Below are 13643 nucleotides of genomic sequence, written 5' to 3'. Positions count from 1 at the left end.
TTATGACTTGCAGAGGAAGAGAAAGGTTGTACTGAGAGAACTCTAAATGGGTGAAATGGAAGAGGCAACAGAAGGGAGATTCAACACTTCTTGCTAACCAAGATCTGCTGGGATAGAAAGAAATAGGAACTACCAAATAACTGTTCACAGTAGCTGTGATTATTAAATGAAAATTGATCTTTTCCTCCTATTTTATGGAAGGGGAAAATAAAAGAGAACCATTGGTCTGAAAAAAGCATGGCTTGTACTCATCTTTACTGTCATTGTACCTCAATTCTCTACTTCATATTTTTCTTTCCAGTTAGGGTTATTCTTGTTCCCTGTCAATTTTTAAGGATATTGCAGGAATATAAAAAATCTAAAAATTTTTTGACAAAACTGTCATAAGTAGAGTAAAATTCCACTACACTGAAAATGAGATGGATTTGTTAATTTTTTATCCTGATAATAAGGCATATGCAGGTGTAATGATCTTACTGGTTCCTATTCTGTGTAACCCATACTCTAATATGAGATTATAACTTATAGATATAAATGTCAACTACTGTTCTTATCGACTGGTCTTCAGATTATGAATGTTACTAAAGAGAGTAAATCACAATACAATAATGTGGAGATCCATGCAGTTTGTTTGCCTGGCTTTTACTTGCCAGTAGTTCTTTCCGCCAGTCCTTAAGAGCTTTATGCTGCATTTTCATTTTAAATCTCACATTAAAAGACAATGTTCAAAGACTCATTTAATAAAATGTATCAGATATTCACACTAGGTGTGAGGCTTGCTGCGAGGCACTTTTAAGACAAGAGGGTTTGAAGTGATTCATCAATAAAGCCTTACCTATTGGCATCTGCACATTTGACTAGGATGGTGTCTACAACTGGCTGGAGAAGTCTCTGAAGTTTGATTCTTTCCGCTAAACTGTGGCAAGGAGTATATACCAGCATGGCTCTCAATGTTTTCTAAGGAAAAAAATCTGAAGGTCAGTTTATGTACACTTAAAAAGCATCAGAGATAATGGCCTAATTTGAGACAATTTGAGCAACAAAATAAGTAGACAGGAATGGATTATAACCCATAGAATAAAATAAGAATTCCATGCTTCTGTAATAATACAACTAACTAACAAAATAAATGAATGGGGCAGGAAGGAATTTTCTGAACTCTTTTCTCTGCAATTTTTAAAAGTCTGAATTCATTTCAAGATGAAAAGTTAAAAAAAATTATTTTAAAAAAGAAAATGAGAACAGGCGCCAACCTGAAAGAGCTCCCAATGGTCAAGGCTGGAATAATTAGAGCAACAAAACAAATGATGGTAGTACTGGGTTGCAACCCACAGAACAAAATGAATACCCAGGAGCCTACACCAATACAAATTAAAAATTGAATAGGTATATAAACAGAGAAGCTCTTCTTTATAGAATAATTCCAATTAATTAATGTAGAAGGAATGAGGAAAATAGAAAATCACCACTAGAACACCATTTTTTAAATTATACTTTAGTTGTGGGGTACATGTGCAGAACGTGCAGGTTTGTTACATAGGTACACACATGCCATGGTGGTTTGCTGCATCCATCGACCCGTCATCTACATTAGGTATTTCTTGTAATGCTATCCCTCCTCTACCTCCCGACCCCCGACAGACTCCAGTGTGTGATGCTCCCCTCCCTGTGCCCAAGAGAGCACCATTTTTAATGGTGTAGTAATAACTGCTATAGGCAAGATCCACAAATGCTTTTAAAATCAGTGGACAAAATTTTGAGGTGAAATAGGGTATTTGCATAATCTCAAAGTAACTCTCACAAGATATTTAGGAATATTAACTTTACAGCAGGGAAACTTGGTAGACATTACCTTAACTGACAGCATCACCAATAATAAAAGCCATGGGCATATGTACCCACTGATATGATGCACTAAGAAAGGCCTGTCACCTCTGTGGCGTTCTTGTGAAAAATACGTAACTTCCATCTAATCATGAGAAAACATCAGATAAACCCAAATTGAGGGATATTCTACAAAATAACTGGCCAGTAAACTTTGAAAGTATCTGTCAAGGTCATTAAAAACCAGGAAAGGCTGAGGAACTGTCATGGATGAGAAGACATTAAGGGGACATGGTGACTAAATGCACTGTGGGATCCTGGATTGGATCCTGGAACAGAAAAAAGACAACAGCAGAAAAACTGGTGAAATCTGAATAAAGTCTGCAGTTTAGCTATGAAGGGCACTGTTGGGCAACTGAAGAGATTTGAGTATGAACTTTATAGTACAAAACAGTATTGTGATTAATGTTAATGTGCTGACTGTATATGGAAGAATAAATGGAATTATGTATTTGGTTTTAAGAGACACATATTTAAGTGTCATGATGCTGCAAAAAACTCTCAAACGATTCAGCAAAAAAAAAAAAAAAAATTATATATGCAGAGGGAGGGAGAGGAAAAAAAGGAAGAGACAGAGGAAGGGGAGATAAGAGAAAGGGAAAGGGTGAGCCTTAACAGCAGGAGCCATTTCTGCCTCCATGGAGCCTGGTATCCTTTATACAATCTTTGTGCTCTAGGATCTCATAAGCTAGTTGGGAAACAGTCTGAACTTAAGAAGAAACAACCACAACAGTAAGGCAGTTACGGTGTGTACAAAAAGAGTAACACAGCAAAGGCTTTGCAGAAAAGGAACTAGCAAAAAGAGGATTTTATTTAGTCAAGTATGCCTGAAGGTTTGTGTTGGAAAATACTAAGTAAGAGGCAAAATATTGGGCCAATTGGTCTTTATTCTATAGTATGCTGGTCCCTCCAGATGCTACATGAAAAAACAAGGTGTAGCAAAATAACTCTGGGAAACAATGCATTCTATCCTTTGATCCTTTAGGTTCACAATGTACATTAGCTTACTGAAGGATCCTAGAAGCCTTTCAGTCAACAGACCTAGTTATCCTTGTGTAATCCAGTGTTCACCAATCTTAACTGAATACGGGATTCTTTCTTCAGGGAACTTTTCACAACCCTGCCAAACTTCCACAGAATATGCTTTAGGAATGTCAAAGAAACAGAAACCTCTAAAGGTTTCTAAATGATTTGGGGGATAATCCAAGTTGTGTTTAAGAAATAATGATAACTATTATATAATATTAAATGTTCTTACAATGTGCCAGGCATATGGTTGAAAGTTTCTACATAATCTAATTTCAAACCTAAAAGGTATTTTCATTATTTTATGGGTGAGAAAACTGAAGTTTATTTAAGAGAGGTTAAGTAACCTTCATAAAGCCATCGTGCTAGTAAAAGGGAGAACCAGAATTTGAATCCAGGTCTGTCTCTATGATCTTGATCATGTGTTCAGATTGCCTAGGCTAGTCCAACTTTAACCAGCACATTATGCAAGCATTGTGGTTGGAATGATAAATTATGAGATCACTCAATTGTGACTCCAAACCCATGTTCGTAACTGTCATGCTGTATTACCTGTCAAGAAGATTCATTAGGCCCAATCGGTAGAGGATGCATTAGAAAAAGACTGAGGGAGGAAGCCTACAGACTGCTCATGAATTTTAAGAACAGACTAGATAAGAATTAAAGTAGTGATTCTGAATTGGGGGCAGTTTTGACCACTGGAGACATTTGGCAATGCCTGGAGACATTCTTGGTTGTCATAACTGGGGGCATGATCGGGTGGGGGTGGGTTTGCTCCTGGTATCTAATGGGTAGAGGCCAGAGATGCTGCCACAGTACACACATGACAACATCCCTGGCCCTCCCCCCACCCTCCAACAAATAATTATCTAACAAATGTTAATAGTACTGAGGCTGAGAAGCCCTAAAGAGACATATACGCAGAATGGAGAAAGTCCAGTTAGTCTCCTAAATTACCTCCTTGTCACTCTATTCCACCCATGAAAGAACTTTTAACAGGTTAAACTGGAAAACAACTCAATGATCTATGTCATGGAACCCTTTTCTTTGAAAAGGCTTTTGAATCTCCACATGACAATGTTTATTAAAAATCAATCAAAATGTTTATTAAAAACATATCTTCCTTAATATCTGATAAATTTTTTAAAAAATCAGAATAACGTTGATGACTCTGCCATCCCAAAAAGCATTTTTAATTTGGTCATGTATAAGGTATCTGCTCAGAAAAATGTACAGATATGAACAGCAAGACATTAAAAAAATCTTTAAAAATTAGCAAGCTTGTCTAGCTCACCCTATTTGTTGTTGTTCTGTTTTGTTTTGTTTTGTTTTAGGCTTTAGCAGCCTGAAGCCATGGTTTTTAGTCTGTCTCTAGTGGTAAGTGGAAAAGGAGGATGAGGAAGGAGCTTTACTGGCCCAAACAGAAACTAAGAAACCATGACTATATTCTCTCCCTTGGATACCCCTGCAAAGCCTTTAAAACAATGAAACTAAAAAGTAAAACAGTTATATAAGAAACCTTGGACATCATAAAAATCAGTAAAATTCAAATAAACAAAACAAAAGCTGTAATTTCCTGGAATTATGGAATAAAAATAAAATTTGGATTTTCCAAAATTAGGTAAAGTAGCTTTATTGTATCTTAAAAACACTATCTACGAACCATCAAAAAACCCCAAACCCATAATGATATGATTATGGAATAAAGCTACTTACTAAAGCAGCAACGTACACTTTGTAGACAGGGTCAGCACAGACCATTGACAGAACGCTGCAGCATGCCTCCACCACATCTCCTGAGATACTGGTCTGGGAAGACCCACTGGTGGCTCCCCCACTCGGGCTGCTTCCACTGCTGCCCCCAGAATTTCCAGTGCTCTCCCCATTTGCCAACAGCAGGGCCCCACTGACATCATGGGAAAGACGCCTGAGGGCCATCTCTCTCACATTCCAGTTTCTAGAAAATAAGCAGCCAACGAGTTCCATTCCAAACACCTGTATCAAACACACACGATGAATTCAATGTAAAGAAAAGCTTATGGACCCAGAGCATTTTGAGTTTAGCATCATTTTTGATTACTACGTAAAAACTGGACATTTCTGAAATCTTTACCATCCTTCACAACTTCAAATATATCCAGCCACTTAAGCATCATAAGGAAGAATTTTATACTCAAGTTTAACTGATAATTATCCAAAGTCATTAATATTTATTAGCTCAGGTAAAATTAATAATAAGCTCCATTAAGTCACTAGATGGCTATACATACATTCTATGCCTCTACTGTCCCACATGCTTACCAAAACGCCAAAAAACTGTGAAAACCTCAACTCTGTATTCATATTAAGGTAGTTTAAAGAGAAAAACTGGAGCAAGATTAAGAAAACAAACAAACAAACAAAAAACAAATCAAAAAAAGCACCAGGAGAAGGTTTCAAGAGATATAGAGTATTTCTCTTACAGACAAGAGCAATAAGCAAAACACATTTAATTGGTTTTTGTCTGTATAAAAAGGTTTAAAAAACTAGACAAAACAGGTAGGACTGTAAAACGAATGGAGTGGACAAATCAAACAACTGAAGAAAAAATGCTTGTGTTCGAGTAAGCAAAGGATAAATGTAGACGTAGAATTATAGTATATGCTGTTATCGTCGTCAATACCATGCCCCAAAAGCCAGAGTCCCTACAGTGAGGAAAGGGTGAATGGTCTTGACATTATGGGCCAATTAGCTAAAAGTAAGCTTAATACCTAAGATAATTCATTATGTGAAAAATGCCTAAATATTAAAGATGAATAAACACAACTTTTGAAAAACAGATCATAACATACTTATTTACATATGTTTTGTTATAAAGGGATATTATGGGAGAATGAACCAACTAGAATATAGTGAGCTTCTGGTACTGTTAAGTAGTGTACCACTACCTATGTTTTAACTGTCTTACCTAACATGCTTAATAAAAAGCTAGGAATGTAGAGCCTAGTCTGACCTAAAGCTTAGGCAAAACAAACTAGACCATATGCTTGAAAGAATGAACTCTAACAGCTCAGAATCAACTTGAGAGTTCTTTGATGGGTCATGAAAGGGCAGGTGAGGGCCTATGTTCATTAATAGTTCATTAAATTTCATTAATGAACTAGGTACAAGAATGTGTTTAATATTTTTGCAGATTTTATTAGATTCATAAATGGGTTGCTAATATGCTAAGAGAATTCCAAAGCTGCAGGACTGTAATGGTCACAAAAGAAAAATGTAACAAATCCTAATGATATATAAGCTCAATGTGTTAATGCACCTGTTCACAAATTTAATTCAACAGAATTTAACAGATTATTGAAAATAATTATTTTACTTTATTATTGTCTACTGGAGACCCGTCTGGTTTTAGATCCTACATTTAAAAAATAATAGACTGAGCATTCAACAACCAAGAAAATCATTACAAACCAACTGACAAAAAAGCCCTACTTACTGAGGATGAAAAAACATTCAATCAGAAGAGATGGTAAAGGGATGGGAAACTGTTCTTACAAATAAAAATGATGAACTCAAGGTAACCATCACATATTTTTTTCTTATTCATCTCCTCTGCAATTATTAAGCACCCATTGTATGCCATTAGGATATGAAAAGAGAAATTAATTTTAAATGGCAGCAAATAAGAAACATGATAAAAATTCTTGGCAGGCACGGGGATTAAACATTGGGAAAAGTTAGCATTGAAGGGTTCTGGTTTCTATCCTTCTATCCTTGAATAACCCCGTATGTCCGTTAGTTCAGGAAGAGATGTTTCTAGATATGTGAAGTGAAACCACAAGAAGTTTTGAAGTTGAAGCTGTACAATAAGCAGTATAGTATTAATACCAAAAGTAACATTAAAATTTCCAGTGGAATGAAGGTCATGATGGAGGCAAGTAAAAGTGTTTTTTTAAATTATGAACAACTGAGGGAAGGAGACAAATACATTAATTGATCTATAAATATTTCTTTGAGAAATGAAAAACAAAGAACTACTTACCTGAATCCATGGCTCAGCTAAATCTTTGTAAGCAGGAGGGATTTGCTGAGTTCCATAATGAGTAAGGTTAAAATTGCTCTCTTGATTCCTTCGTGATCCAGCCAAAGGCTGCTGCTGTACGGTTTGCTGCTGTGCAGCTCTGAGGGAAGAAGGGGAATCCACAGGACTTGACAACTCGTGGCTAAAATGAAAAATAACAAAACTTGCTTTAAAAAAATTAAGACAAACCACACTGAGAAATTTTTAAAAATTAAACATATCCGTATCATTTCAAAATTATTACCTGTAGAAATCATGAGATCTCCACTTAGATCTACAAAGGGGACATATTAAAGGTTCTCTATTTCTTCTACACTCTTCTGCCCCTGAAAAATTACAGAAACAAAATCTTACAAAAATGTAAATGTTTAACATTATTTTTATTTCATAACTGTTTATAATTATAGAATTTATATAGAAGGAACCTCAAAAATAATCTAATTAAATGTTTATCTGAAAGCAAGTAAACACAGCAGGTTAAATGATTTTGATTTGCAAATGCTATTTTATTCATTCTGATAACATGTACTCTGCTTACTATTTTTCAAAACATTCTGCCCTGTTTGACTACCAGGTAAAGTCCTTCCAAACCTTACTTTGATGCTAGCCTTTCTGTAATGCCTGCCCAGGTCTTCTTCCACCTCCTTCCCTTCATGTATACCTTCCAGATTGAAATTGTTTCTAATTCTGTGCACTTCTTCCATTATCACATATGTCACACACACTTTATTGCATTTCTTTGCTCACACAGGTCATCTCCTAAAGATCCTACATTCCCATTTGTTGAAAACTTTTCACATAGGACTTAGGACTTAGATATACTTTTTTTATTCTCTCACCAATTTCCCCTCAAGCCATGTTACACTCTTAAATAACATAGTTAGCTCAGAGAGCAACTGTGTTGAGTAAGCATAGGGAGAAAAAGAGCCACATACAAATTGACATGCAGTGGTGGTGCAGCTTGTTCCTGCAGCCGTCTTCACACACTGTAAGACTTTCTTCATCAAGCATGCCCAACAAGCAAATAGGACACATCTGTTCCTCTTCATCCTTTATGCTATAGAAAAGGGGAAGAAAAAGTATTAAGCATAAAAGAATATAAAGTAGAACGGATATGCTAAAAACACTTTCTGCTTGCTTAGAATATAAATACATTAGAAATTCTTAAGAGCATCTTATATAACTAAGAGATACATATTTACACTATTAATATACAGTAATTTAAAATCAGATTAACACACGAGTATTTATAGATTGTAGGTGTGAGTTAACCTTCTTTGCTATGAAAACAATTCAATACACAGACTGCAATCTTAGAAAGAAACATTTGTATCCCCCAAATTCTGCTACTGTACCTTTTGAATAGACCAACAGGTTTGACTATGTATAAAAATACACTACATGGTACCAGTTTCAAGATTTTAAGTACTGGCGGACCTTAGAGCTCAAAGATTCCACATCCTAAATTTAAATGCCTATTTCAGAAATTTCTGGTGGCAGTATGAACTGATCCAACTTTCCCAGAAATGAATCTAGGAACACATCACATTTTAAGTGTACACAATCTTTCACCTAGACTTCTAGGAATGTATCGTAAGAAAATAAAAAGATAAATATATAGAGATATATGTATGAAAATGTCCACTGCAATATTATTTAGAATAACGAAAAGAAATCAAAACAACCAAATGAATGCCAAAAAGAGGCTAAACAAATTATGGCAAACCCAGACACCTTGAAGCCTTTAAAAAGGAACAGAGAAATCCATAAATGAGGTCAAAATAAAACTACCATGTATAGGATGATTCCATTTATGGCAAAATCGCAACATAATGGTTAATTATATTGCATATACTTGAGTATTTCTAACATACAAAGTACTTTTAAAAATCAGTTAGAAAAATACTAATAAATAGTACAATGGACAAAGGAAATAAAAAGGCAATTGGAATAAAAAATAATAGATTGGTAACATCTGGCCCTGATAATGGCACAGAAAACCAGGTTCTCATATAGACTGCTGGTAGGAGTAAAAACTAAAATCTCTGGAAGGAAATTTTGTTAGTATTTCTTAAAATACTACATGGTATATATTCATGACCTAAAAATCCTATTTTCTAGGATGTTATCGCTACATATTTTAAGTATGTAAACCAAAAAGTGGAGATGTACTTAATGTACATTAATTAAGGCAATGGCTAAATAAATTATGGTGTACCAACATAATCTTATACAGCCATGAAAAGAAAAAAGTATGTAATTTGGTGATGATGTGGAAAAATATTCTTGATATATAAAGTAAAAGTAAAAGAAAACTGCACACCAGAACATATGGCATGACTTTGTATTTGTTTAAAAACAGTAAGAAAGTTGAGAGAAACATGGATGGGGGAACGTGCGTGCATGTGTTTGCTGAAGTACGAAGTGTGCAAAGAAGAGTTTCATTCCTTGATTTATGTAATTTTTAAAAGTTGTATGAAATAGTTAACAGTAGTTATTTTGTGTGCAGCCAGGCTAAAGAGGGCTTTAGTTTTCTATTTCATAAATGTTTTTATTTAAACCTTCATGATGTGAGGGATGGCTTTTAAAATCAATAGCCGTATTTTCATTATAATATAAAGACAAGGCTCTGGGATGTTAAATAAGTTGCCTCAAATCATAAAATCAGTTTGTGGCAGATCTATCATTACACTTTTATCTGAGAAGAATATGCCATAAACTTACAACATCTATAAATTTCAGAGTCTGCTAAGCTAGGCCCAATATTGCACTTCTACTATCTTAAACTATTAGGTTGGTGCAAAAGTAATTGCGGTTTTTGCCATTACTTCTAATTTTTTTAATTCTAATTTTGCCATTAGAAGTAATGGCAAAAACAGTAACTACTTTTCCCTGAAAAACAGATCTGAGTAACTACCAGCAAAATAACCAGTTCCCCAAATGCACAAAAAGCTTTCCAAAAAGCTAGTCAAACAAGTCAGCAAAGTCATAATGCGTGATTCCTGTGATGAAGGCACACTTACTAGTCTGTCCCTCCTGATGTACCTGCCCATCTCTTTTCCTAATTATGGAGCTACTTAGGATGGGGAAAAACTGTCAAGACTATGCATGCATTAGTAACAAAGAATTAACAGCAGCATTACAGAAATGATGTATACAACTACCTATAATAAAAATATTCATGGCAAAAATAATCCAAGGTCAACTAACCCTTCAAATAATTATACCAAAATTAAGCTTATTCATAGAGGAAAATAAAGTTTCACAATTTAGTCAAATTATAAGTGCAACTTATTAAATACTTCTCTGACAACAAAAAGAATACCATTCCGGGGTATTTCCTGCCCATCTTTTTTCCAAGTACATATTTTGTAAGCATTGTTCAGATCATTTATGTATATATATGCACTATTTCATATTTTAAAAATTTTTATTATAAAATTGCACTTAAACTCTTCATATACATAATTCTTTTTTTTGTTGTGGCAACATATGCAAAACATAAAATTTACCATCTTAACCATTTTTAAGTGTACACGTGAGTGGTATTAAATGCCTTCACGCTGTGCAACCATCACCACTATGTGTCTCCAGTATCCTTTTCATCTTGTAAAACTGAAACCCTATACCCATTAAACACCATTTTCCATGATCTCCTTCCTCCAGCCTCTGGCAACCACCATTCTACATTTTTTTGAGACAGGTTCTTGCTCTGTCACCCAGACTGTAGTACAGCGGCACAAGTATAGCTCACTGCAGCCTTGAACTTCTGGGCTCAAGAGATCCTCCTGCCTCAGCCTCCTGAGTAGCTGGGACCACAGGGGCATGCCACCCATGCCTGGCTAATTTTTCTTTTCTTTCTTTTCTCTTTTTTTTTTTTGGTACAGACAGGGTCACACTATGTTGCCCAGGCTGGTCAACATATCCTCCCACCTAGGCTCATTCTACTTTCTGTCTCTATGGTTTTGACTAAGTATCTCATGTAAGTGCAATTATACAATATTTGTCTTTTTGTGACTGGCTTATTTTGCTTAGAATAATGTCCTAAAGGTTCATCCATGTTGTAGCACACTTCCTTCCTTTGTAAAGCTGAGTAATATTCCACTATGTGTATATACCACATTTTATCCATTCATTTATTGATGGACACCTGGGTTGCTTCCACCACATAATTTTTAATGCCATCATAATTTTCCACTGACTAGATAGATCCTGTTTTAAGTATCCATTAATGTTGGACATATAAGCTGTTTCCATATTTTTACATTTTAAGAAACCATTACGGCCGGGCGCGGTGGCTCACGCCTGTAATCCCAGCACTTTGGGAGGCTGAGACGGGCAGATCATGAGGTCAGGAGATCGAGACTATCCTGGTTAACATGGTGAAACCCTGTCACTACTAAAAATACAAAAAATTAGCTGGGCATGGTGGCAGGCGCCTGTAATCCCAGCTACTCGGGAGGCTGAGGCAGGAGAATGGCATGAACCCGGGAGGCAGAGCTTGCAGTGAGCCAAGATCACGCCACTGCACTCCAGCCTGGGTGACAGAGAGAGACTCCGTCTAAAAAAAGAGAAAAGAAAGAAAGAAACCATTACAAACATCTTTGTACTCATTTTTTTTTGACGTTTCAGATTTTTTTTAGCATAGTTTTTTCTGAAGCAAAATTACAAGTATAGAGCAGGGAGTAATGAACTTATAAGGAAAACAAATCAGCCTGTGGACTACTTGTGTAAATACAGTTTTACTGAACATAGCCATCCCGTTCATTTATATATCGTCTTTGGCTATTTTCAGGATATAAGGGCAGAGCTGAGTAGTTTTAAAAGAGACCAAATGGACCACAAAATATTTAAAGTTTAAAAAAAGTTACCCATAATAGCACCTCCTATTAATAACCAGTGAAGTTTTTATTCCTTCCGATTTTTACATACTTGTAATACCTTTTCTATATAAAACTGGGTTCATGCATAATATATTATTATAACCTAGATTTGGTTTTACTTATCGACATTTTCCCAGGCCATTCAACGTTCTCCAAAAGCATAATTTTAATGCCTACATGACATTTGTAACATGGGCATATGCTAATTTAATCATTCAATTGCTGTTGGATATTTAAACTGTTTCTACTTTTTCACCATAATACTATGAGAAACAGTCATATATGATATATGTGAGGCTTTTGCATTTCTCAGATTAAACTTTTACTTAAGAAGAACATTTACTGGATCAATGAATATAAATGTTTTTAAAAGCCATATTCCTTTTTTCTTCAAAAGGCTATACGGCTTTACATACGATCAAGCACATGCTTACAATAACTGAATTACATCATTTAAAAAGTCTTCATTATTTCGGTAAATAAAAACTGGTATCTTTTTTTAAAAAATGAACATTTCTTCGGTTATTAGGTTGACTGAACAGTTTTTGTGTTTCTTAGCCCCTTAAAATTCTTTTTTGGTGGATATTCTCTTTATGCCCTTCATTTTCAATTGAATTTTAAATTTGTTTATCCTAATTCTTTTATTATTGTTTTGGGCATAACATTTAAAATTGTATGTAATCAGACCTCCAGATAAATTTCCTCTGTATTTTCTTTTTATTGATCTTAGATATAAAAATAGTGGTTATACGAAACAAAAATCTATCTATGTATGTACAGTACAATCTCAGTAACCAAGATAACTTTTGTGATTCCCCCCATGGATATGCAAATCCAAATATATATATTTAACCTCAGAGAGAAACTTTCTATTTTGACTACTTGGTTTTAAGCATCTGTTATTTTTCTCCACAGTAAAAAGTTACAGAAATGTCACTCAAAAGGAAAAAGGAGCTGGGTGTGGTGGTTCACACTTGTAATCCCAGCACTTTGGGACGCTGAGGTGGGAGGAATGCTTGGGGCTAGGAGTTCAGGAGGCTGGAGAAATAAAGCTCATTTTTTTCATTTTATTTAGAAGAGATGAGGGGTAAAACAAAGATACCCAGGTTCTGGCTATACCTTTCCTCAAATGAGCTGCATAACCTCTTGGCTTCACTTATCGCTGTGTCACTGAGACATGCCAACTAGAAAATCTTCAATGTCTAAAAACTCGTAAAACTCTAGGATTCTAAAATTATTTCATTTAATCAAAATTAAGAAAATTCTTCAAACATTTACTTTTTCCACAGATGAAGAAAACCTCTCTTCTCTTCACTGCACCCTTGTTACGACCCTGTCACTTTTTCATTCTTCATGAATTTTGAGGTAGTTACAATACTTAACAGATTAATAGGATGAAGACAGGATTTAACCACTCAGAACAATGCTTCTCAAACTGGGCACTTCGGGAATAACATAGAAGGTGCCCTGGTAAGAGAAGCAGCACTCCTTTGTGGATTAATTTTTAAAAATCTAATTTTTACACTAAAACCAATAAAGCAATATACAGAACAGAAAGAAGATTCACATGAATGCTGTAGTTTTTAGCACAAAACGTCTATATACACACACACACTCACATGACCTTTAACATACATACATACATACAGACATACATACATACACACACCCACATATTTTTTAAGAGACAGGGTCTTGTTCTGTCACCTAGGCAGTGGTGCGATCATAGGTCACTGGAGACTTGAACTCCTGGGTTCAAGCGATCCTCCTGCCTTGGCCTCTCGAGTAAC

At 35.2% G+C, this 13643-nt stretch overlaps 1 protein-coding gene across 4 annotated transcripts in view; it reads right to left on the bottom strand.

The window, feature by feature from the left end:
* Positions 1-13643, bottom strand: part of MAP3K1 (mitogen-activated protein kinase kinase kinase 1) — an 80604-nt gene that overhangs the window by 16216 nt on the left and 50745 nt on the right. For all 4 annotated transcript variants that reach the window (NM_005921.2, XM_047417218.1, XM_047417219.1 and 1 more), the window contains 5 exons: positions 7906-8027; positions 7215-7296; positions 6932-7112; positions 4627-4905; positions 836-957 (listed from right to left, as the gene is read on the bottom strand). In NM_005921.2, the coding sequence (NP_005912.1) occupies positions 836-957; positions 4627-4905; positions 6932-7112; positions 7215-7296; positions 7906-8027 (786 nt within the window). The remainder of the gene's footprint in view (positions 1-835; positions 958-4626; positions 4906-6931; positions 7113-7214; positions 7297-7905; positions 8028-13643) is intronic.

The sequence above is a fragment of the Homo sapiens genome, chromosome 5 (genome assembly GCF_000001405.40).
Source record: "Homo sapiens chromosome 5, GRCh38.p14 Primary Assembly".
NCBI classification, from domain to species: Eukaryota; Metazoa; Chordata; class Mammalia; order Primates; family Hominidae; genus Homo; species Homo sapiens.
This window is presented reverse-complemented; position numbering and strand designations above follow the sequence as displayed.